We start from the raw sequence: 27,432 nt of genomic DNA on the forward strand, positions 1-27,432 counted from the left end.
CGGTTCACTGCAGCCTCAGCCTCCTTGGATCAAGTGATTCTCCTGTCGCAGCCTCTCAAGTATCTGAGACCACAGGTGTGTACCACCACACTTGGCTAAATTTTTTTTCTTTTTTTTTTGGAGAGACAGGGGTCTTGCTTTGTTGCTCAGTCTGGTCCTGAACTCCTGGCCTCAAGTGATCCTCCCACCTCAGCCTCTGAAAGTCTTTTAAGATATCATATTACGGAAACTTTAATTAAGCTCTTGCTACATATAAGACACTTTGCTTAGGATTCAATGTATATCTTTCATTTAACCTTCACAACAACTCTAGGAGGTAGGCACAATTATTATTCTGCTTATCAACGTTGTCAACTGAAGTTAGAAAGGTTAGTAAATCTTTGAAGTTCACACAGCAAGTCAGCAGTGAGGCTGTTAATCCCTCCCCACTGTTAACCAGGAAAACTCTACTTCTGTTAAATTCTGATCATTTTTTGCTAAAGGGGTTAGCAGTGCTTTTGACTCTTTTATGTTTCCCTTTGATTTACCATCTAATGGTTATTGCTACAGTGTTTAATAAGCAATGCATTATCCCTGGGCAGTGGAAGTAATATCATTACTCAGAGACGGTAAACAGAAGTTTGCATCTGTGCACTGCCTGGAGGTGGAAGCATCAATAAAAGCCTGAGGTGGAAGGAAGAGATGAATGTGCAGGCTTGAATCAGAGGCAAGGGACGCAATTTGATGTGGGGTAATAAGAAATTCTGCCTAGGCTAGCAAAGAAACACAATCCTTTACCACTCCTAGCCTCAACTGCACTGTTAGATTTCTCCTAACACTGCTTTTCTTTGCTCCACAGGGTACAACAGTCCCAGCCCCGCCCATCACACCCACAACCCTTATGTACGCCCAAGGGTGCCTGGCATGCAAGATTCTAAGAGCAATGGGTTGCAAGTCCCTTTGACAAAGTTTGCCTGGGGACCAGGAAATTTAAGTCTACATCCGAGGACCAAAGATATTTAAATTAAAAACTTCCTACCAAATCCAACAGCAGCTAAGAGAGTGGCGAATGCGATATTACAGAAATTGGTCTGCAGCCTCCAAATGCCAAAGTGGCAGCTTGTTATTTATGATAAGATAAGGAGCAGCTCGTTACTAAAGATATCCATGTCAACCCCACGCATTGAGCAGAACAAAGGATCGTTAATGATTCCTGGGCTTGTCATGTTAGAATGGGGTGGCGATGATAAAAGAGCATCTATATATGCTTTCCTTGTGACATTTCTTATTTTTAAACTCCAATATAAAAATATGTGTTAATTGTTATGATTTGTGTCACATGCTATGCTCCAGGGCTGGACAGGAAACAGTGTCCCCATTCTAGTATTTTTATAATAAGCAATAAACAAACAATAAACAATGACAACAAGAAGAGAACCACTTTCCAGGATCATATGATTAGTTCTGACATTTGGGAAATTGCTTCATTGCCAGAAGTCAATTCCCGCGATTGCGAGCATCTTCCACACATAAAATTAATAATGTGCCCAGCTCCCCTCCTGCCTTCATTTTATTATATGAAATTTGGACCTCCCACAGCATGTAAAGTCACATTTTTAAAATAAAACTTTCTTCCTTTATAAAATATATAAGGAAATGTCTTATAGAGTTACACAGACCTTTGAAAACATACATTTTTCCATTCCTTTGTTTATTCAGGCAATACCCGTTTGAGTACCTACTAAGCGCCAGGTACTTTTCTAGAGTGAATATGACAATGAGGGAAAACAGACAATTATTAATATTCCAAATGAACAAAATAAGTTTGGTAGTAGTAAGTGTTGGGAAAAAAATAAAGTAAGTCAACGTGATAGAGAGACAGGTCCTTCCTAATGGGGACGGGGGTGGAGGGGCGGTCAGAGAGGGACTCTCTAGGAAGGTGACATTTAAGCAACAAGTTGAATTACAAGAAGGAATCAGCCATAAAAAGATCTGGAGAGGAGCATTCCTGGCAGAAGGAATGGCAAATGCAAAGGCCCAGTGCCGGGGACAAGCCGGGCTTGTTCAAGAACAGATGAAGTTCAATGACCCGAGGGCATTGAGGAGGGCCCAGTGGATGCGGGATGAGGTCAGGGAGTGGGGGCAGGAGCAGATCAGGTGGGGCCTTGCAGGCCTAATGAAGACTTAGTATTTTATATTAATGACAAGGACAGCCACCGAAGGTTCAAATCTCGGAAATGATAGATTCTATTTGATATTTTAAAAATTACAGCTGTCTGGGCGTCATGGGGGAAGAAAATGGACAAAATTGTGTTCCACTCAAAGATAGCATTTCCCTTACAGATCCCAAGGCCCTGTCTTTGTCAGTACGGGTAGTGATTAAGAACATAGTGCTAGTCAGAAAACCTAGGTTTGAATCCTTGCTCTGCCATCAATATGCCATGTGATCTTAGGGACTCCATCAAACTTACTAAAGTCTTCACGTGAAAACTATAATAATAACTCTTCCCAGAGTCTTGGTGAAAATTAAATGAGATATAACACATAATACAGAGTAGTGTTAGTGCCTAGTACTTGATACATATAATAATAGCTGTTGTTGTTATTATTATTATTATTATTAAAATTAGGAAGAAGAAAGAGAAGCATAAGGTAAAGCACTCAGCAACTACTCTGATCATTCAGGTGAGAATACAGACTTATGGGAGACAGGATGGAGGTTTCCATCAGCATAGAGCATCTCTGTGCTCCAGGCCCTTGGACAAATGTCACCTCTTTAATGTCCTGAAGACATTAGGTAGAATCTAGACCAAAACAGAATTCTGGAAAAACTGGAAATAATTCAGATGCTCACCAACAGGAACATGAATCTTGATATCATGGATGCAACTCACAAATATGTTGATTGAGGAAAGCTAGACAGGAGAGACTACATGCTGTGTAATTCCATTTAGATGAAGTTCAAGAACAGGTGAAACTAACTGCTGTTGGTAGATATCAAAGCAGTGGTAACATTATAAGGGACCGTATTTGGAAAACATTTGGAAAGAGCACAAGGGAGCCTGCCAGGGTGCTGAAAAGTGCTCTATAACTTGATCTAGATGGCAGTTACATGATGGATATACATATGTAAAAATATCATCAAACCATATACTTAAATTAGCATACTTTATAAACTTTTACTGATGTATGTGTTATACCTTAATTTAAAAAAATATGTATTTCAGGGGATCAGAAAGTCAGCTACATAAATAAACAAATGGTGACTGCTCTCTTCAGGAAAACGATGACCTCAGGACTACTTAGGAGCCAGTTAATTTCCAAAGCTACTTCCCGTTTCTAAGTTAAACAGCTCTGCACATAATGTCAGCCACAGCAATGGCAAAGAACCGCAGGGCAGGTGATGAAAAAGCTCGGCTTAGCAGCAGGACAATGGGGAAGTGTGTTAAACTGGGACCATGACCAACTTCCCAAAACCCTCTCTGGTGATTGCCAGTGCCTGCTTAATGCCTTACCTTTCAATTGTGCTGAATTTGTCTGCATTAAATGAAAGTTCGAGGGGGCAGGATCACTTCTTTTTTGTTTTAGAAATATAGCTCAAGTACCTGTGTGCTCTATAAAGAATAAAAATAATAACAGGAGGCCGTGGAACAACTGAAGTATGGAACATGTATTTAGAAAGTACTTTCTGGCATTTCAATAAAGGAAATTCAGAGGGCTTCCAGCATAAGAACAGGATCCGAATGGATTCATTTTCCTGATAGAGTGACCCAACCCACAATGCAAAGTCATTAAGTCCCATCGCGTGGCATTAAAAAATGCTTTTAAGCTAAGATCAGCCGAAAATGTGCCCAGGGCAGATTTTTATGGCCATATCATCACAACCTGAAATTCAAATTGGTGAACTAGCTAGAAATACATGCTCACTAGAATGGTTCAGAGTTTTTCTGCATCTATCTCAGTGAAAAATGTTAGCAAAGGAAACCTTATTTTCCTGGAAAAACACTATCAAATAATAAAACAATTCAGGACCAGTTTTCACAAAGTAATAACAGGCCATACATAATTGATTGCCTTTAGTCTTCGTCTCTGGGTATTACAAATCACAGTTACTAGCGCATCGAACAAGCTTTCATTCCGGATTCAGACTGTCCGTCTTGGCACTGCCTGAAACGGCTTGAGCACCTTTATTGCACACTTTACTGCATTGTTCTTCAGTTGCTTCTTCAGTGAAGTTCTGCTATACCCAACAATGTTATACCCTCCTTCTTTCTGTGTGTTTACTGACTGTCCCTGATGGTAGGCAAAAAGTAACTTCTAGAAGGGAACTGATTTAGACTTATGATCTCACCTCAGGCTTGCAAGGCAATACACACCACCCAGGGAGATAAAACATATTCCTATGAAATCATATCCTAACTCTCTCCATTAAAACTCTAGAACTGCACTAAAAGCAGGAAAGATATACTAAAATTATACCAATTCTTTGGCTTACCAAACATCAGGCAGCTGCATCCATAAAAAAAAGGAATAAATAATTCATTCCAAAACTCTTTTTTGCACATCTCAAGGCTCATAACATTGGTTTGTAGGAGGAGGTCTGAACGAGGGCCTAGAAATTCTGAGTTATGCCTTGGCTATAACAGGAACCTGATCCCTCTATCTTACTCTCCCTTTGTATGTACGGCTAATGATATACACCTGGGCTGCCAGTGACAGTAGCCATGAGCCACGTGCCTATTGAGCACCTGAAATGTGAGTAGTCTGAAATGAGATGTGCTGTGAGTATAAAATACACACAGGATTTCAGAGATTTACTACCAAAAGAAGAATATAAAATATGATTCTTTAATAATGTTCAAATATTAATTACATGCTGTACATGCCGAAATGATAATATTTTAAAGATATTGGGTTAAATAAAATATACTATTTAAATTTATGTTACTTCTTCCATTGAACTTTTTTAATGTGGTTATTAAACATTTTTTTAAGTTATGTATGTGGCTCACATGTATTTCATTTGGATGACAATGATCTAGATATTCTGAATTGCTATGAAAGCTAAGATTCTCTCCTTGTGGAAATGGGTAATTACAAGCCTAACAGTTACGCATGTCTTAAAGGATGGAGAACGTGGGGGAAGAGGAAGCAATCAAGTCACCAAGTGTATTACATATTTAGTTATACTTCAATTTTCCTAAGCACATTACAAAAAGAATGGAAAGAAGGAAGAAAAACATGCACAGTCCTTCACCCTCCTGAGACAGAAATGAGACTGAAAATGGACTTTGAAATCAAACCATTTCAGATTAGAATTCTGCCTCTAACCTCAGTTTCTCCATTTGTAAAATGGAAGATAAGCATACTCACCTTTTAGAGAATTAAATAAGATCATGCCGATCAAGTACTTAAAGCAACATTGGGCACGGTTGGGAATAAAGATCTTGGCACCGGAGATGTTGAACCTGGAGCGGAAGGGACATTGAGACCAAAATGTCCATTGGGCAATGGGAATCTGAGCCTGGAGACCAATAAAAAGATGGATAGATGCAAGTGTCCTAGCAAGCAAGCCGCACAGGTGAGAAAACACTAAAACCAGGAAGGGAGCTGGTGTCACATAAGCAGCTCACACTTCATGGAAACATCACAGCTGCAGCTGAGCTCCAGCCAGTCGTTCCCATGAAGGAATAATAATGGTACAGTGTTGCCAGGTTTTCCAATTTTCTAAGAGAATCTAGAAATCCAGCTTTTTAAATGTTTAGAAATTTTAAAAAATTTAGTTTAATTTAAAAAGCACTCATTATTCCAGAGAGAACCCACGGGAAAATAGTTTAATACCAGCCAGGCGCGGTGGCTCACGCCTGTAATCCCAGCACTTTGGGAGGCCGAGGCGGGCGGATCACGAGGTCAGGAGATCGAGACCATCCTGGCTAACACGGTGAAACCCTGTCTCTACTAAGAAATAGAAAAAATTAGCCGGGCGTGGTGGCAGGCGCCTGAGTCCCAGCTACTCGGGAGGCTGAGGCATGAGAATGGCGTGAACCCGGGAGGCGGAGCTTGCAGTGAGCCGAGATCGTGCCACTGCACTCCAGCCTGGGGGACAGAGCGAGACTCTGTCTCAAAATAATAATAATAATAATAATAGTTTAATAACTCTGCTGCTGCCTCAAAGGTCAACAAGGTAACTTGTTAGATTTCTACCATATGAAAGTTAACGGGGATCTCAGATGAAATTCCCACAAGCCCCCAAACAGTTGAGCTGCCAAAGATGAAGAGGGAGATTTACCTCTTCCTCCTCCCAGCTCTTCATGCTGTAGGAACACAGTTGCTGCGACTACAGGTGTCCCAGCGGTCTTTCCCTCTCCCCAGACCGTGACCTGGATGTTATGCAGAATGTTTCAAAGAGAGCTGCAAAAGCACAAGGACTTTTTACAGGAGACACGTGACATAAACCAAGGTGCTACTCCGGCTATTATCCATTGCCCGCTTTAGGTCTCTCTGGAATATTGTCTGTTTCCATTTCAGGCACTCTCAGCTACTACCCATTTTGGTTAATAAATTATCATATTGTGTAAATGTATACAATCTGTAAGCCTGGAAGAACTGTCTGGAAAAAGGATTTTTAAAATATCACACTAAAAAAATAAATACTAGTGGCCTCTCTGTATCTATTGTAAGGAGTAAAAGGATTTACACCTGAAAAATTAAAATTACAGTAGCTACTCTTTCCTCAAGTGGTTCTTAGCAAATGCATTTTAAAGAGGATGACTTTCCAGTGAACACTTTAATTTTAATTTAACCTTCCCAGAAAATGAAGTGCTTTGTGTAGATTCTTTTGGTTTTATTTAAGGCATAAAAATTAGTTCTGAACTGTGATAATTGTGGGCTTAGGAATGTAATCATTCCAAGCACCACTTCTCACTTGCTTATAAGCCCTACAGGTCTTGAGTTGCTGTTTATTGCTAATTCGAAGTTGGCAAGTTATTTAACTGTGAAGCTGAACTTGAAGTCAGAGTGTGACGAGATGGTGGGAGGTAGATTGTTTTGTTTTGCTTTCAACAGGTTATCCAAAGCCCGGATGCAAAATGCGGTGCAAGACACGGTTCTAGATATGTGCTCCTCTAACTCTTAATCTTAATTAAAATGGGATGATGAAATGTTCTAAAGGTGGAATAAAATATTACATTAATCTATAACTCTATCTTGTCAAACCAACCACAGATAGGATACAGGTTCCTATCATCCACCCTTATGATTTTGTTCTTAATTGTGGCATTTTGTTGTTGCTGTGAGGACTCAACCTAAATACTATTGCTTCTATTTGATTGTTTAAAGGAAAATAATGTAACAAGCTTTGGTCATGAAAAATCGTAATGTCCATAATACAGTAGATGCAGCATTTCTAAACATTTTAGAATTACGTGTTTGAATCCACGACCACATACTCACATACATATAATCAACATTAACCAAAGGGTCATATGGCGATTTTTTTCCTTTATAATAAAGAGATCCTCTGAAACATTTTAAGATAAATGAATTCCTGCTTAAGTATGGGTGCATTTGAAGTGAGAATGCTTTGAATAAAGTTATCATTTTCACACACCACTATGCCTGAAAGTTATGAGCATTCAGACAGAAATCATTGAAGAAAACTTAATAAAAATATGTTTGGCATATGCCGTATTTAGTGTGATCAATAGTGTTTAGTAATTCAAGAAATGAATTAAAATTTCACCCTCATTTTGCCACTCCTAAATTTCCATTTGAAAAACAATAAGAGAAATTATTAACTCCCTGAATATTTCTAATGGGCTTCTCAGCATTATTGAGTAAAACTAACTCCACATTGCAGGCCTGTGTGCTGACTCAGGTTTCCAAGGTTTCTCTGGGAACTCTTTGGTCTGTTGTTGCTGTTCTTTATTCTTTATTGAAAGGCATTTCCTAGTGCATTTCCTAATTTTAGGCACCTGGCTAGACTTTGGGGATGAAACAATACATGTGGCAGAATCCCTGCCCTTGGGTGCCTTACCCTCTCCTTCATACAGCATCTAATGGATCCAAAACCAGGGAGAAGGTGCACCTCACAGCCACAGGCTGCAACAGAGAAAGGTAAAGTGCTGGTACTACCTGGTTTGTGTTTGTCTGTCTGTCTCTTTCTTTTCTTCTTTTTAGTAGGTGTCAATATTTTACATAAAGATCTAAATTTCTGACTTCTCTTAAAAAAAAAATCAGAAGATCTTAGCATACTGGACCAGAAAGACTACTTGGCAACATCTGGCTGAAGCTGTGGGGTGGGAGTGTTGAGGGGGGTGTGGATGGTGCACTTTTCCTAGTCATCTCTGGATCAAAACTGGCTCTAGTTTGCCAGTGTTCCCACCACTCCCTATAGTTTTATACTCACTCATATCCATTACCTGCTTTGTCCTCGTATTACAGTATTTACATTACTGACCTGCAAGAAGTAACTAGCAGTCAGAAAGCCTGATACTAGCCCTTGGTCTGCTGCTTATTAAATATATGACCTAGCATGAATTCGTGAATTGCATAATGCCTTGGAGCCTCAGTTTTCTCTTAAAAAAGATTAAAGACAAAACAAAACAAAACACGCCTTCTCTGGCACTGCAATTGCAAATCTCCAAAAAGAAATCTATGGAGGGGTTTCCAAACCTGGAAAGCATTAGGCCAAGGAATAATATTATTGTAATTTTGTTTTCAGAAGAAATATCTAGAAAATCAGAAATAACAGCCTATATCTGATTATACCTATAAAGATCACAAAGCACTCTCAACTGAATTAAATCTCATGTGACCTCTGAGATAAATATCACTTTAGCCATTTTGATGATGAAGAAACTCAGGCTGAAAAGGACCAAGGGATTTGCCCCAACACCAAATGCTGACATTTTTAAAAAGTCAACTTTCAAGATAGTTCCCATAATTTTAACACCTATGAAGACACTATTAACAACTGACATCACATGATGAAACAATAACCAGTAAGATGAGCCATCACTTTCCAAGGATATACTCTGGATAGAGAGTAGCAGCTTCTTTGAGCTTTCGTTTGTTTGCTTGTTATTCAAGAGCAACATTTTTTAAAGGGTATTACATGTTGTAATATAAAGGAAATATTTTAAGTAAATATTTGTAATAGGTACTCATTTGGACTTCTAATAAACTAGTAGGGTTAAAGCTTTTGAGGACGCACTTTCTCATTAAATGTTTGTCAACATTACATTATTTTCTTAGAGATTGTCATCAGCAAGTAACTTCTATGAGAAACAAATGTCCTTAATTTTATTAAAGTCTACTTTTATTAATCCCCTCCCTACCCCTAATTGAGCTAATTTGAACCATAGTGCCATTCAGAAAGAAATATGAGAATTCATCTGGCTCATTGTCACATACATTTTTTCCACAAAGAACCTAATAGAGTTAAAAGCTTGATTTAAACATGAATTAAAGGTTTATCATTTACCTTTAGGAACAAACTCTCCATAGGAATAGTAAGCTCTTTTAATGCATTTACATTTTATTAGGCTTACAGACATTCAATTTATTGGTGTCTTTAGGTACACATTTACTGCATACAGTCAAATATATAACACCTTCATAGTAACTTTTTTTAAAAAGAGAAGGTAGACTTATTTAAGTTTTTTCATGGTTCACCATAATTCAGGTAGCGAAGTCTAAATGAACAAGCAGAGGGCAGATGAGTGACTTTAAGTGCACAGGAGATCTCCACATAGTAATTTAGAGACACCGTGGGAAATAAATAAGGAGATACGTGAAAGAGTAACCAGCTCTTGGCAGGACATGTATATGACTGAGTAACATGCAAACTACTGTTTATACATTGCAATCAGCTGGCAGCCAAGCAAAAAGCTTATAGATGAGTAAGGACACTGCCACAGCCATGTTTTTGTTCTGAACCTCCTGATTAAACAAATAAACTCAGACTAGAGAGCCACATGGAGAATACAATGCTAGGGATACAATACAATAGAATACAATACACTTAGCATGCAGGGTCTAAATATTAACAGCAACTGCAGAAGATATCACTGCAGATTTGAGTAAACTTTCTGAAACAATAATCTACAAAACCAGCTGTGTTTGGTGATGGCTCTTCATAAAAACAAACAGTTGCAAGAAATCTAACAGGATTCCAAGCTACAGTTCTTAGCTTATAGATTTCAAACACTGGAGAGAAATGCATAACATCCCAGCTTTTTATTCTCCAAAGTGAAGATTTTGAAAGCAAATAGGATTACTATCTAGTATGGTCATCATAACATTTTTTAAAAAGACATTATTATTCTGGAATAGGAAGTATATGATCTCCTTACAATGAACAATTCCATGTAGAAAAAGATAGAATATCTGCAAAGCACTTTTGAGGTAGGTTAAGGTCCTGGGAAACAGATTCCTCATGCATTTAGCTTGAAGAAAGGTTTAAAAGGAATTCTTTAGGGATCAACACCTGCAGAAGGAAAGGGAAATAGAGGAGGAAGCAGGTGAGCTGAAGGAGAAGTCCCAATGGTAGCTTGTGGGGAATAATGAAGATGGGGTGCCTTAGCGCATTCTGGCAGTTGTAAAAAATATCATAAACAACAGAAATTTATTTATGATAGTTCTGGAGACTGGGAAGCCCATCAAGGTACCATCAGATTTGATGTCTGGTGAGGGCCCACTTCTGGTTCACAGATGATGGCTTCTGTCTGTCCTCACACAGTGGAGGGACTAGCAAGCTCCCTGGGGCCTCTTTTGTATAGGCACTAATCCCATCCATGAGGGTGGAACCATCACAACTTAATCACCTCCCAAAGGCCCCACTTTGAGGGTTAGGATTTCAACATAGAAATGTTGGGGGTACACAAACATTGAGACCATAGCATGGAATGTCCTGAGTGAGGGTGAGAAGGGAGGGGCCTTTTTACCCTCCAGTGATCAGTCACTGGAAGCAGGCCACCTCATGAAGGAGGTATGCCTTTGGGAGAGGGTTGTCTATGGGCAGCACCACAGCAAGTAGGGTGATAAGCCCTTAGCTCCTAAAGGAGGACCTGAGCAGTGCATTACAGAGTCCATGCGACACTTCTGTTCCAGGCTAGATAAAATATTTTTAAGCTCTGGCTGTAAGGACAGTCACCTTTAAGCTTTTAATCTTAGACAACCATCATAATACAAGGGCTATTTGAGACACAATGGTAAGACATTAAAAGGTCAAAGCATATAATGCTCTTACTGTCCATCAGATAACATCTCCAGGAAAATCAGTCCTGCTGCTCTTTGATACCAAATGGCTTCTTAGGTATCAGATCTGCTGGCTTGTTCTGAAAAAAGGTAGAGTGAACTCATTTTTCTCTACTCCTTCCCTCTAAATACCCTGGAAGTTATTCAACGGGAAGTGATAAAGAACTCTAAAACCTGGAAAAAAAAGGAGATAGAAACTGACTAGGGGCCTTAGCACTTGAGGGACAACAACCTGGTGAGTTCCGTGGGGTTTCCTTTTTATTTCCAATATACCCTATGCCGGGTTCCAGAGACGGCTGCAACCCCAAAACAGCAACAGGGAGAGCCTGCTCCCTCTGGTCAAATGACCAGTAAAGAAGTCCAGTAGAGACCTAGTGGGGAAGCCCCAGCCCCAGCCCCTACTCTACCACTAGGGCAGCGATGGGCAGTGAGGCCCTAGGCCATCCCAACCATATATCTGACAAAGAATTACTATCTACAGTATATAAATAATTCTCAAAGCTCAACAGAAAAAAAAAACAATAAACAGTTAGAAAATGGGCAGAAAATATGAAGAGACAGCTCACCAAAGAGCATATACAGGTAGTAAGCACACAAAAAAATATTCGACATCATTAGCCATAAGAGAAATGCAATTTAAAACCACAAAAATATTGTTACATATCTATCAGAATGGCTAAAATAAAAAAGCAGTGATAACATCAAATGCTGGTGAGGATGCAGAGACACTAGATCACTCAGACATTGCTGATGGGAATGTAAAATGGTACAGCTATTCTAGAAAATAGTTCAGCTGTTCATTTTAAAACAAAAAATAAATTTGCTATATTACCCAGAAGTGGCACTCTCGGGCACTTGTCACAGAGAAACGAAAACTCATATTCACACAGAAATTTAAACATGAATGTTCGTAGCAGCTTTATTTGTAATACCCAAGAAATGAAAATTATCCAAATATCCTTCAATGGATAATGGTCAAACAAACTGTGATATAACATAACACGGAATATTTCTTAGCAATACAAAGGAATGAACTATTGATACACACCTGGATGAATATCAAGGAAATTATGCTAAGTAAAAATTAAAGCCAATCTCAAGAAGATACATACTATATGATTACTTTAATATAGCATTCATGAAATATGATAATCATAGAGATCAAGAATAGAGTAGTGGTGGCTAGTTGTTCAGAATGGGGTAGGGAATAGGTGTTGACTCTACAGGGGTAGCATGAGGGAGTCTCTGATGATGGGACAGTGAAGTATCTTGATAGTGGTTGTGGTTTCATGAAGCTACACTTATGATAAAATTGCGTAGAGCTACACATGCACACATATACACACACAAATGAGTACCTGCATAACTGGTCAATCTAAATAAGCTCTATGGATATGCATTGTACTAATGCCAATTTCTTGGTTTTTATATTGTCCTCTAGTTAGGCAAGATATTAACATTGGGGAAAACTGGAAAAAGGGTACACAGGCCCTCCCTCTACATTTCTTTGTTTGTTTCTGTGTATCTACTGTTATTTCAAATTTTAAAATTTACTTTAATTGACAAATAATACTTGTATATATTTAGGGGGTGCAATGTGATGTTTTGATATATGCATACAATGTAGAATGATTAAATCAAGGTAATTAACATATCTATCATCTCATAATTTATTTGTGGTGAGACATTTGAAATTTATACTCAGCAATTTTAAAATATGTGATACATTTTTATTTACTATAGTCACAATGCTGTGCAATAGATCTCAAAAACTTATTCCTCCTGACTAACTGCAAATTTGTACCCTGGTTTTTGCTTTTATTTTTGAGACAAGGTCTTGCTCTGTCACACAAGCTGGAGTGCAGTGGCCCAAGCACAGTTTACTGCAGCCCAATCTCCTGGGTTCAAGCAGTTCTCCCACCTCAGCCTCCCGAGTAGCTGGGACTACACGCATGTGCCAACATGCCAGGCCAGTCTTTTACTTTTTGTAGAGACAGGTTCTCACTATGTTGCCCTAGCTGGTTTCAAACTCCTGGGCTCAAGTGATCCTCCCACCTCGGCCTCCCAAAGTGCTGTGAGCCACAGGCATGAGCCACAGGCATTAGCCACTGCACCTGGCCACTTTATACCCTTTGATCAACATCTCCCCATTCCCTCTCCCTATCCCCCAGCCTCTAGTGACCACCATTCCACTCACTACTTCTATGACAAAAATTAAAGTTTGTTTCTTTTTTTTTTAATTAGGCCCGTTGATTGCTCAGGGTAAGAAATCGTAATAAAATTCTAGGTATTTCTTCCTTTGCAATGTGCCAGCATCTGCATCTATCACTGGAAAGTGGATTGCAAACCCATCTCAGATGCCCACACCTCCATTAACCTCTCCTACTCCCGGCCCAATTTCCTGCTCCATACCCCTTCTGATAGTTGCTTGCCTGGAATCCCTTCAATGGCTTAGCAAACTCTATGGCAGTTCCTGGGTTGCACTTCAACACTTTCTTGACCCTGGCCCACCTCTGTTGTAATCCCTTTCTCAAGGTCTGGTGCAATTAAGAATGCTGCTGAAAGGGTTTTTGTTGTAGTTCGTGCCTATCAAACACAGACTATTCTGATTACTTGTGGCATTTTGCAGTGATATAAAATTAAAACTAAAGCACAGGAGAAGAATCTTAGGTTTTTATATAAATAATTTATTGTCTATAAATTCTCCCAAGAGGAATCTATGTCAGTCTACAGAAAGTGTCTCTCCATTGAGACCCATACCATTTGCCTGTAAATTCAGCACACTGATAGCCATTTGCAATCTGCAAAAGAAAAGCCATCTATCTAAAGGGGCACGCCACACTGTTATTCCTTTGTAATATTAAGAAATTTATCCTAATTTAAAAGATAACTGAATTCTTATTCTTTTACAAATTAGACTTTAAAACACAGCCACTGAATTGACCAAGCACTACCAAGCTTTTATCCTACTTTTATTTAAATGTACTGAAACATTAGTGATGAAAGCTTTCATTTAAAGAATTCTGATGATTCTAATATTCACTTATAATGTCCATTTAGCTACCACATTGTGTTTATGCCCCTTAAAAGCTGAAGCTATGACTGCTCTAGTACTGAGTTCTCCAGTGCTTATCATTAATTAAAAGGTAAAACACGATTACCAGGGTATCTGCAATCAAGCTTTCAATGTAAGAAATATCAATATCCAGTACTTGAGAACATTTTGGAACCAATTTTAATAGGTAAAAAAGTCCAAAGAGAAGAAAAAATGTTCTTTATTATTTCAAATTAAAACCAGATCAGTATATCTTACTGAAAAGTTGCAATTGCCCATGCCTTCCAGGCATCTGCCTAGTTTTTCTCTTATAGCAGATGCTAAAGAAGAGAAATCTGGCATGTCCATTTCTGTAATATTTACAGATATAACACATCAGCAATACATCAGTTTGGTTTTTTATGGAAGCTAACCTCAAGAAGCAAAACATGCTCTGTGAGTGTACTTGTGTACTTACTTCAGATCATCCTTATGCTTGGGGGTGGGCAGACAGATTATTAAATAATGACTGTACTGAGTGTCTACTAAGCACAGTGGTGTACTTGTGTTGAGGGCACCGAGACGAATAGAAGAATCCCTACCCTAAAGGAGTGCAAAATCTAGTATCGGAGCCACATGAATATTGTGCAAGTGAAAGAAGGTGAGCACAGATTATGTCCATGGTGAAACAAAAGTTCTGAATATCTGTTGAGACTGATAAAAATAGATCCTGCTAATGTTAATGGCAAAAATGGCCTGAGTGTCTTTAGCTCCCCAATCAACTCTACCAGTATCCACCCAAGCCACCCCAAATAAAGTGTTTGCCCAGTGTACATATGCAGTTTCAAAAAAGTTGCCCGGTTTCTCCTCTTCTGTATTGGTAGGAATTGAGCAGGACACAGATGGCCCACTGAAATTAGAATAATTTGAGGAAGGTTTAATAAAGGGACTATTTATAAAACTTTGGGTAGTATGTAGGAAAACCATAAGGGACATTCAACACTCTGGAACTGTTATCATCACACGACATAAAGGGAGAAGGGGAAGGAGCACTGACCAGAACTTGGAAAGAGAAAGTCTGGTGGAGAGGTCAACCTCGAGAAGAGCTATCTGCTTTGATAGAGGAACATAGCCAGCTCAAAGGGACCCCACAGGGAGTGATCCAAGGCAACTAATACCTTGACCTCACTCTCCTTCCATTTTCCAGTCTCCTGCTTGGGTCCCCCCATTGGCCAGAAGGCAAAAAAACCCACTGATGAAGCATACAGGTCAGCAGGTGGAAAAGGATAGCATCCCTGATTCCTGGTATTAAGAAAATCAATCAGCCGCCAACCGCAGAGAACTGCTGTGAAAATTAAATGATGTAAAGCACATTATGCACTCAAACATACCTCAAACATAGTAAGTAAATGAGAAATGTAAGTTGTTAAATATATAATATGGGATATTTTTCATTATACAATTCAATATAGCAATTATCTATGCCTCCCACCATTTTCTCCCCACATGAGAGGTACAGCAGAGAGGGAGAAGAACCAATGTTTCCTGGGTGGCTAGTATGATTGCAGCAGAGTGCTAAGCATTTGCTATATATCCCATCTTATTTCATTCTCCCTAGAAAGAATGTGATAGGAATTATTAAGCTCTTAGGAAAGGTGAGTAAATGAAGCTCAGATATGTTGCCTATAATTATTGCTTATAATTAGGATCTCAGATCTGTCAAATTCCTAAGCTAATGACTTCTCCATTATTTTATGTAGATGGGCTACCTGTCCATATTAGATAATTTTATTTTTATCACGTTGAGGGGAATTAGAGAAAAACTTGCTAAAAGCTAAGCATCTAACTTAGGGCTTGCCACAGAAGAGATAGTCAGTAACTGCTATATATGATGATGAGGAGGAGCAGGATGATAATGATTGTGATGGTGATGGTGATGGTACTGGTGATGGTGATGGTGATGGTGACAATGATAATTATGGCAGCGGTGACAAATGATGGTGGTAATAGTGATGATAAGAACCACCCTACTTTAACCTAGGAGCAAAGAACTTCTGCAACAGACACGAAGAATTCCTTAAATAAGGTTTCAGTATATAGTTGAAGTAGTGGAACTGATAAATATTTGTTAATCCTGGTCCCTCAATCCAAGAAGAAGCTTTTTCAGAGCAGGCTGTGTGGTGCATGGCTGGGCCACTATGAATTTCGGTTTCCCTGTGTGTGAAACGCAATAATTATATATGTGGTGCCTAGAGCTGATGTGAAGAATGAAAGGAATGCATTTAGAACACTTGGAACAGCCTGGAGCACAGCGAACACTAGGTCAAGATAGCCACTTACTGTCGGGGAGGTTAGTTCCAACATGGCTGGGCTCTCAGCAAGTCTTCTTTTGAGGAAAGGACCCAGAAGTGGAAATGGCCCCTCTCCTTACTAGCTGTGTCCTCACCCACTCCACTCATCTACACAGTTTAGAATCTGAGGGTGAAAGAAGGAAGAGCAGGCAAGGGAAGGCAGCAGTGGAAAACAGCTCTTGGGTGGTAAGTAGGGAGCAGGAAGAGCAGTTACCACCATGCTTAAAACAAGGTTTTTAAAAAAAAAAAATTGCCTGAAGTCACATTTGAAAATAAAGAGCTTGGTAAACATGCTGATGGCAAAGAGAACTTGTAAAACAGTTTCACTTGAAAAAGGCCAAGGTTAATGGTATAATTTCAATTTTGAACCTTCTTTTAATATGGATTAGTGCTCTCAAATATGGGATTTGACATTAAGATGCCAAAAGAAGACTCAGAAGGTAACCTCAAGCAGTATTTTTTAAGGAAATTTCTTCCTTTTATCATTTGAACGCAGCTGAACAAAAACGTTATTAAAAATTATTCTGTCATAAAAACAGCAACATCAATGACCATAACAAATGCTAAAAAGCAAAATTATCCATGAAATTAAAAATATTTCACGAATCCAAGGTGAGAAATATTTTAGGGATGACACTTGGCACTTGAGATTTATGTAATGAGACATTACCAACTTTTATGTATAAAATTTCCTTTCTGAAAAAAAAGTATGAAAAATCAAAAGAAGGCACCAAAAAAGTCCCCCACTGATTTGGAAAACATATTCTTTTTTTTTTTTTTTTACAATTAACTGCATTTGGAGAACTGCATCACACTTTTAAATAAAATATACATAACACATTTTCTCTTTATAGAAAAACCTTTACAAACCCTTAAGTTTGCTGAATTACTGCTGAAAAAGTATTTTTGAAATAAAATATACAGAATGAATAAAGCATCTTTACTCCATTCTTCGGAAATTATCTAGATACAAATATATACATGGCTAAGTTCAAAAACTTACATAGTAGAAAGTTTAATAATTTGATCTATAATATTAAGCTGTTGATACTTTCGATTGGAAAGAAGGAGGGGAAATAGTGAAAGAAAAATTAACCACAGAATATATTCTTTGCAGTTTGAGATATAAAATGTTTTATCATTTACATTAATGTGCATAACATTTTAATATTAATTGTTGCCTCTTTCATCTTGCTGTCTTATTTTTTAAAAGCTTATCATAGAAAAGTCTCTATATGAAATTGTTCATCCAAACAGATAAAAAGTTGGAATTATAACTGGGCCAATGAAATGTTGTTGTTTTGTATTTTATTGCTTTGCTTCTTCTTTAGTAATCATCTTTGCAGTCTGTCTAAACAATTCTCTGTGCACTGACATTTGCAATAATGTGTTTACATCACAAAGTTAGACCCTGTCATTCGATGGAACAAGAGGCTGTATTTTGTAGCCCCCAGACACTCTGCATAACTTACTCCCTCTTTGGCCTGAGAGTGTAATCGTTTTTTCATCTGCCATGTTTAATTACCTTTACAGGCATTAACAACAGTTTACTAGAAATCGATGGAGGAGCAATAAATTCATTAGGTTCAGTGGAGGTAAGAAGTTTCATATTCTTTTTCTCAGGTGAATACCTATTTGAGAACTACTAACTTCATCTTCCATAAACCTAAAAAATATAATATATGATTTTCATCTGTCTACCAGTTCTTAATCTCCTACCAAAGATGGAGTCACAACACAAAATCAGGAGTCAATAGTTACAATGCTTTCTCACTCTGACACAAAATTGTGTAACTTGAAGGAAACGTGGGTTCCCTTATGCATGCAAATGCCCTATGCGACTACAGAATGTGTTCCCTACACTTCAGAAGCTGTTGATGTTCCACTCAGATCTCTGTAGGATCCCTTTTACCAGTTTGGTGTCCCATTCCTCCCTACAGGTGTTGCTGCCCATCTTCTCCAAAGAATTGCCCTTGAGTGACCAGAGCAACACCCAGAGGTTCTGGGGAGATATATCACTAAATTCGGCCCCCACCCAGGGTCCATAGCTAAAGACTGAATGGTGGGAAGGGAAGGTACAAAAGTCTACACTCCTGTCTCAAGGCAGAACTGACCCTGTAGTATGTTTCATGCTCCCAAGACTCCCCATGTGATCAGGTTAATTTCACCTGAAACCACAACCTTGGTAGCTTCTTCCACTTCCTTATACTAATTCCCTCACTCCCTTCCTGGTTTCTCCCAAGAGCCCTCTCTTACTAATCACCTGCACACCCATCTCCAGTTCTAGGGAATTCAACCAAAGACCCTGTAGAAGCAAACATTACAGAACAGACAGGCATACAAATGGTTTTCCAGTTTTTGCAGGTAATCAATATCTCAGCCATTTTAAAAGGTACTGTCCACAGTGTTTTATAAGCACAAGTTGGGGATGGAGGGGAATCACATGCCTGTTATGTAATTGTGTGAAAAGAAGTTCCTAAGATCTACAAAGTCACATCATTTGCAGAAGTCACTAACTGATTCCTGCTCCAGGGAAGGCTGCAGTTGGCAAGGGCTGCCCTTCTTGGCAGGTGTCAGGCAGGGCTCTGCACTACAATTCTCCCTGCATTGGGAGAACAAAAGGAGTCTGGGGCTAGGAAGAAAAAAAAAAATGACAAGCGAAGCATTAAACTACAAACAGCTCTTTGAAGCCTCCCTGATAGAGGTGGTTGTGTTTGTGCAACAGTTATTGGGTTGAGTCTAATAATGAAAGGACAGATCACCACTTACTCTGTGATGTCAGTAATGAAAGCTATCAAAACTAAGCCTGAGTGGGCCTGACTGTCACCCTGTAAATCTAACGTGGACAGCTTAATGAGGGAGGGACATTATCTTTTCTCACACTCCAATTTTACTCACATAAGAAATGTGGCCCACATTGGCAATTAACTTGAGAGATTAATTAAATCCAATAACAAGTTCAGTTCCCTCCATAGTGCATTCTGATATCATGTGAAGGCACCAACATGCTATGGGCACTTAGCACATGTTAAAAAATAATGGAACTAATTTGGGCTTTTTGTGTGTGTGTGTGTGCGGAAAACTGGCAGCTAACCGCCTCAGTAAATTAATTCCACAAACTGATACAGCTACTCGATAGTTCACACAGTCTTATTTCCAAACTCTGCTTTATTATCCTGAAACTCCCAAGAAACATTGCCCAATAATTGTGTTTCTTCCCTCAGCAATTTTACTCACCAGTAGTATTTAACATATTTTATTGGGCCCTCTGAAGAATAAGGAGGCAGCCATTCAGACAAAACATAAACTCTGCCCCAGCTTAAGAAGCAATAGACTGGGTCCCATTGTGTCTCTTTCAAAACAACGGCTGACACTGACAAGGAACAGGAAGAGCAGCAGGGGTGCAGGCATGAGCTTCACTTAGCGTCAGAAGGCCACGTGATATATGTTCTGGTTCTCTTTCTTTTGGGTTCCCTAATTCGTCCTTAGTTCCTGTTTTTGTGTTTTCTTCTCTGAAACGGTAAAGTGCTTTCCTCCACTACCATATATGAAATTTGATCTTAAGAAATAGGAGTCTTCAAATTTGACCAATTGGCCAAATGGTTATTAAACTGATGCCTTAGTGAAAGTCAATGAAATTGTTTTTTAACTGGTTGCTGTAAAATCATATTCCTATAATACAGATCAAATTCATATACTAGAGTTATTATATAGATACTACATAATAATAATGCCTACTCCTGCCCCACTGCTCCCAAATCAACCTACTCAAAGAAGTGCTTCCTAACAATCTCACTACCAAGGACTCCTTTTATTATGATTTGAGAATGGAGTACATGTTTGAAAATATTTCATCTATCCAAGATTAACGATTAATTCATTTCCTTTTTGGTATTATTAAGAAAAATACATATCCTGTCTGATGGAACTTCTAATAAATAAATAATGAAATTACAACATGAAGGTAACCTAATCTTTGACAAAAATGGGAAATATAATATTTGGGTAGCCTTTCATAGTTACTGTGGTTACAAATACCCTTTAGGAAATAACGAAAAGAGCTTGAAGGTTTCTTTTCTATTTTGGAGAGAATTCTATGACAAGGTGATATTTTAGACCTACCCTAATAGTCACTAGTGCAGAAGATTTACATTAACAATCTTTCATACAGCCAGAAGTTTCATCTACCTAAGTGGCACCTTGAAACTAGAAAGAGATGGTAAATAACAACAAGCCTCAATGTTCTAAGAATAATCACATCACCTGAAGCATGGTATCTCTGCGCATATCTTCAATTATTACCAAAAATGTCTATGCTATAAATATACTTGATGACAAAGCATTCCTACACTTGATTACCAAAAAAAAAAAAAGTAAATGGTAAACAACTGATTGAATTTATTGGATCTGGGGTGATCTTATATTTGTATCAAACTGTAAATACATTTAACTCAACTGATCCAATATTAGCCCATTAGTCCATATTTTCCACTTAGGGTATTATTGCAGACCTACTGATAATCATAATGGCTAACAATATTAAGCTCTTACAAAATGCTTTACATGCATTCATTCATTTATGTGACTCAACAATCCCATGTAATAAGTACTATTACCATTGTCATTTTACAGATGACAAAACTAATGTTTAGAAAGGTTAAGTAACATGCACAGCCACACAGCATCTGGGTTTATCTGCTGCTTGGTAAATCTGGACTAAACAACCAACAGGGATCAGGCTTGATATTCTGTTCCACCTGATGGCCAAGGAAGATACTGTGCAAATGCCTGCACATTTGTCCTTAGACTACAAGCTTTCTTTCAGTCCTGTCAGCATTGACACTGCCAATATTTTAAGAAATGTATTTAAAGTCCCTTCTGATATTTCTTATATCACCAGCTAAACTGCACACAAAATAAGTTAATTGGTTCTAAGGTTTACCTAAATATTTCTCATTGTAGCAGAATTGTGGAAGGAGAAGTAGATAATATCAAGAGTTGACTGTTCCATGTTTTATAGAAAGTAAGAGTCAGAAAAAATATAACCTAAATAATTCCATTGAACTCTCAGTATATGTAGGAGTAATGGCATAATGATATATTGTTGTTATAATTATAGGTAAAAGATAAATTCTTGGAAAATAATTTTAATTCACATTCTCTAACATGAGAAATTTCTCTTCACTTAAGGTAAACTTCGAATGTTTCCTTTCTTTCCACAAGGTGGAAATCTTGAAGTAATGGGCTACTGAAAAACCAGAGAAATTATATGCACTGACTTACTTATTCATTCTTAATTTTAGATTATAAAAGTTTTCTTGTGTAGCTTAGAGAATTTTCCAAATCCTTTATAACTGTGGTTGTGGAATTCCACAATGTTGAACCTGAATAGATTCCTATTTATGACAAGTTACAAATTTCATTGTAGAAACGTAGGTGCAAAAGACATAGATTCCAAAGATTTACCACTTTCAGTATCAAATAATTTACCTTTCATTTTTAGCTTGCTCTCACATAAAAATTGATCCAAAATGCTGTTTTAGGAAGAAACCAGCCCTCATAAATTCTTGATGAATCCAGATCACCAATATGAATATCAGTTATTGAAATCCTCAGAACATATATGAAGGGGATTAACACTAATCATCAACACACTAAATGGCCCTAACTTAGGCTGTTACGTACCTTCATTCTTCTGCTTTATACAGTCTATAACTGTATAAAGTCTTCCAACTGGAGTTCATGGAATCAGATATTCTTAAAAGAATACATTTCAAGATCCTCAACTTTTTTCCTAAAATTGATATGTCTGAAAATGTATCTGCAGTAAGGGTATCATGGGGATGACAATTTCTGTTTAAAGATCTCGCCTTTTCATCTGCAAACAATTGTCAAAGAATACATTGCTCCTGAGAAAAAAGTCCCATGAGAGCAAAGCAAAATGGGAATCTGTAAAAAATACAATGGCGATGGTGTCTTATTTCTCTCAGGAGCAGACTCACTGCAAACCTCCTCACCATATCAGCCAATCTATTTCAGACTGAGAACTCAGAAGTGAAATGACAGGCATGGGAAGGACCACAAGGAAGTTTAATTGAATGTGAAAACCCAAGTTGAAAGAAAGTAGGCCTGACCTAGCTGATTGATTCAGCAAATAAGTTTTTCAAAATAAACTATAAAGTGGACATTTTTCATAAAGCTAATGAGTTAAATCTGCAGTTCCAAGGCTTGGAGGAAATACACTACTCAAAGAATGTACTAAGCAAGAGAATCTTGTCCAAAAATTAAAAATCATATTTGCAGAGGTATACTGAAATTTGGAATATTTCAGTTTTCCCACCTCTGAGTCTATCAGATTCAATATGGCACCTCTAAGAGAAAGAGGAATAGGTATAATTAATGGGCATTTGAGAAGCTTTGGTAAGCCTTTGGTGTACTTCCCAGGAAAAAGAGAAATTGAATATCTTGAGTGACTGAGCAACAAATTCTTTTTCAAGACAGTTTTTCTCTCAATAAAATTGAAGTAGAACTAATTGAGTTGTCAGAGGATGAATCATAAAAAAAAATTTGATGAGAAATTACTATATGATTTTTGGCATAAAACTGGCAAGAAGTTTTAAAAAATTCAATGACATAAAAATACCTCCAATCTCATCTGCTTATGTATGTGAGAAAGATTTCTCAATGCTTATATCTAGAAAACTGAAAAATTGGGATTGTGCTAAATCCTGTTTTGTTTTGAAACAAATAATATTTGACTTGATATAGGAATGAATTAAAAAATCAAAAAAAGCCCTGACAATCTCATTATTAGGTGAGGTTTCAATAATTTTAACTTTTATATTTAATAATTGTTAATATATAAAAAATATAAGAAATACATATTTTTTGTTTTGATCAATCTTGTGCTAATAATAGTGATAAAAGCTCAATCCAGATGTAATTTTTGAAATGTAGAGGATTATAAATTCAAAATTTTTTTAAAAAATTTAATGTTCTGAGACTATATGATGATGCATAAAATATTTCAAGCATATTACATTGATAAAATTCTGTGAGACAAATGAATGAAATATGACTTATAGAGAAAGGAATGGTGCACAATTTTCAATGAATAAAGAATTTGTTTTTATATTGTTAAATTGACAATAGTGAGACTCAACTCATTATAGTATTTAGATTCCAAACGGATATACTTAAAAAATATTTAACAATTTTTAAATGTCAATAATAAGCCAGAAATTATATTCTTTGCAACTCTTTAAACTTATAACAAATTGGAAGCCTATAGTTTTTCCAGAAGTCTTTCAAGGTTCAGGGAGCAAAAAAAGAAAGAAGAAAAAAAGGAGCTTTCTGCTTTGTTTCTCCTGCCTTGTTATTATTTCTGGAATTAGAAGATATGCTTTCCTGGCCCCACTTTCAGATTTGCTCTTTGATCCACTCTCCCCTTAGAAATTGGATTTCTGAATAGCTAAGGTCTCCAGATCACTGAATTGTGGATATGATAAACTTTCCAAACAAATATGATTCTAATTATTTGCTTTACCCTAAGACTCATTACAGCGTTCTTTCAAATAACAATCTTCTCCAGTGCTTTTGAAATATGGTTCTATAATTATAAAAATTCACCTTGCATTCTATTTACAGGCTTTTCATTTTATTTAGGTCCAAAATACAAATGCATTGCTTTGATTCTGTAGCAGATTTTTGAGAGTAATCCCTTTTTAAGTGTCTTTACAAATATGTTATCTAGTCCAACAAGGCAAAAAAGGAAAATAGAAAAGAAGGGAGAGAGAAAAAAGAGGAGGTGATGAAATGCCATCATGATATCAGAGAAGGAGGTGGATAATTTAAAGCAGCAAGGCCCTTTCAAATAGAAGATGGCTAAATTTTATCACTAATTCACAATAGGATTAGAACATGAATTAAATTTCATTTGAAAACAAAGATACCTATTGCTTTATATAGTCCCTGCCTCAACAGCAATACCAGCCTGATTTCTTTCACAGTTTTCTTTCTGAGACAAGAAATACCCTAATAAAACAAAGGGAAAAATATATTTCCCAGTGTCTAATGATCTTTATAAGTCCTTTGACCTTTCCATGGACCTCAGTTTTCTTATCTGTAAAATAAGAAAGTTGATTTAAACCAGTTATTTGAGGAGGGGCAAGAGACGGGGCAAGGAGGGCAGATGAGAAGAATCACAGGAAGGGATGAATTTTTCGACAGAATACCCACACTCTGCATGACTTTCCAGATTCCTACTCAAGCTGCACCACTATCCCTATGGATGCTGAGAACTCCAGCTGTGGGAATTTGTGTTCTCTCCTTGGAAGAGGACAAATGGCCGGAAACACCATGCATAACTTTAAAGATCCCTTCCAGCAATGAGATACCATGATTCTTCGGCTATGACTAGAAAACATATTGTTACTCATGTATTTCTTCTCTCCTTTCCTTTGTCTCTGGCAAGCATCACTATTTGCTCCTTGCTGCCTAGAACAGTATGAGGTATATATGCCTGGGGTGTGAAAGGAGAGATGGAGGGAGGGACATATTTACAGCAGCTATGATGCTCAAGAGCTATATTAATCTGTAGCTCTGTATTTTCATGACTTCACAACTCCCTAAGCTTAAAAATATATATACGTACATCCGGCTGGGCGCAGTGGCTCATGCCTGCAATCCCAGCACTTTGGGAGGCCGAGACGGGCAGATCATGAGGTCAGGAGATTGAGACCATCCTGGCTAACATGGAGAAACCCCGTCTCTACTAAAAATACAAAAAAATTAGCCAGGCGTGGTGGTGGGCACCTGTAGTCCCAGCTACTTGGGAGGCTGAGGCATGAGAATGGCGTGAACCCAGGAGGCGGAGCTTGCAGTGAGCCAAGATCGCACCACTGCACTCCAGCCTGGGTGACAGAGCGAGACTCTGCCTCAAAAAAAAAAAAAAAAAAAAAAAAAAAAATATATATATATATATATGTATACACATCCTTATATATGTATATATATGTATATATATGCATGTATATATGTGTATATCTATACATACATCCATATACATATATATATGTGTACACACACATCCATATATATGACATTTTAAAAGATCCTCTTTTCTCTCATCTTGAAGTGTGTTAAAAGGTATGCGTAAAAAGGAGCTACAAAACAATGAGGTTACTAGATAAGGTACTTTTCCTGAATCAAAGAAGCTCCTAGACAAAATGGGGCCTGACTTGGTGGTCAGCTGTCAGAGTGAAACTTAATTTAACAGTAACAATAGACAAAGTATGTCAGACTAAGTGCTTCATCGACAATCTGAACAATTTTCAATAAAATGGCCTTGATGTCAGTTAGGGCAGACAACCCCAGGTAGAGAAAGACTACTCGGGAAAAAAAATTAAGAAAACCTTCTGCAGATTCGAAGGGGGATTTTTTTTTATCCCTCTGACCAGCCTCTCTGTATGTAACTTTCAGTGGTTCTTGCCTTCAAGAGGTTTTCCCACCACAGTGAGGGGCTGAGGGAGATGTTTGTGTCCCTGGATCTAGTGACTTGTTTTCATGGCTCTGAAGCCCACAGTCACTCCCATTTAGAAAATATTCTATATCCTTTTGGATTACGCTTGATCTCTTTTTATCTAATTAATTACATCTCAGGAACCAAGAAGTAATTACATTAAGAACTTGGAGGCATGCCTTCAGGAATGTCACTATGGCTTTCTGTTTGTTTGTTTTAAAGCAAATCAGCACTCTGGAACTTGGTTCAGATTAGCAATTTTATGCATTCAGCTGGATACAATGCAACTCCTGGTTATTAGAATAAGAAATAAGGTGAAGAACATGAAGGAATGTGGTTCAATCTCTCTCTCTCTTTCCCTTCCTTTCTATTCCACTTTAGTATAGCAATTACAGGCCTCTGAGTTTGGGTTTAGCATCGTGATGGTAGGCAGGTATTTACTTTTTTACTTGAGGGTCAAGTGGGATGAAAAGCAAGGAAAAAAAGCCAGGACAGTCCAAGGACTGGCACATGTCAAAGCACAGAGGAACAATACAGATCTTCAGAGGAACTTTTTTTCTTTTACTTCCTTTTTAAAAAACTTTGTCAGTGTAGTAAGTGGTGAAGACTATTTGCTAAAGTGTTCAACAACATAACTGCTCTGAGATTTCTCCTTCACTAGGCTACTCTCTTAGGCCTCTGTGAACATCTGTGCCATGTGTACAGGCCACTTCCTAACAGGCCCAAAGAGGATGTGTTTTCATAAAAGTTGTAAACACATTTAAGAAATTATCTGAAGCTCATAAGCCACCTGATTTCCTAGGCAAGGCCTCTCATCACATTAACCATATTTTACGTAATGAGCAGATGGGCAGAATAAAACCAGAGGGAGGAGAAGTGGAGGAAAAGGACAGTAATGAGTGATGAAATGGAAATCACGTGATTAATGGAACATAGATTTTAAAAAGTAATGAAGAGTTTATCCCTAGGGTAGAAAACAGGGAACAACAAAAATAAGTACCACGTTGTCAAAACAGTAAAATAAGAGAGTAGAACAAAGAAACAGAGCAAGACAAAGAAATGCTGGTTTTAGGATAGGCCTTATTTTAAAGACACAGGGGATTTTGGAACTTACCATTTTGCAGCTATTTGTTTAAACAAAAATAAATTTATGTTGCCTGGTGTCCTAAAAGTTACTTATGACAACGGTCATTAATAGATAAGAGCCTGCAGCTATCCGGGTACACCAACACCAGCCTTTGTGTTTGTTCAACATTTCTTTCTGTGGGAAATGTAATTTGTAGCATAAG

General features: G+C 37.8%; 1 protein-coding gene and 1 long non-coding RNA gene across 9 annotated transcripts in view; one reads left to right on the forward strand and one right to left on the reverse strand.

Moving 5' to 3' along the window:
• Nucleotides 1-27,432, reverse strand: part of FHIT (fragile histidine triad diadenosine triphosphatase) — a 1,504,176-nt gene that overhangs the window by 1,241,941 nt on the left and 234,803 nt on the right. The gene's annotated exons all lie outside the window — the stretch shown is intronic.
• LOC105377111 (uncharacterized) lies at nt 37-1,416 on the forward strand. Its single transcript, XR_940884.1, has 2 exons — nt 37-75; nt 839-1,416. It is a non-coding gene; the product is annotated as an uncharacterized LOC105377111 (long non-coding RNA).

The sequence above is a fragment of the Homo sapiens genome, chromosome 3 (genome assembly GCF_000001405.40).
Source record: "Homo sapiens chromosome 3, GRCh38.p14 Primary Assembly".
NCBI classification, from domain to species: Eukaryota; Metazoa; Chordata; class Mammalia; order Primates; family Hominidae; genus Homo; species Homo sapiens.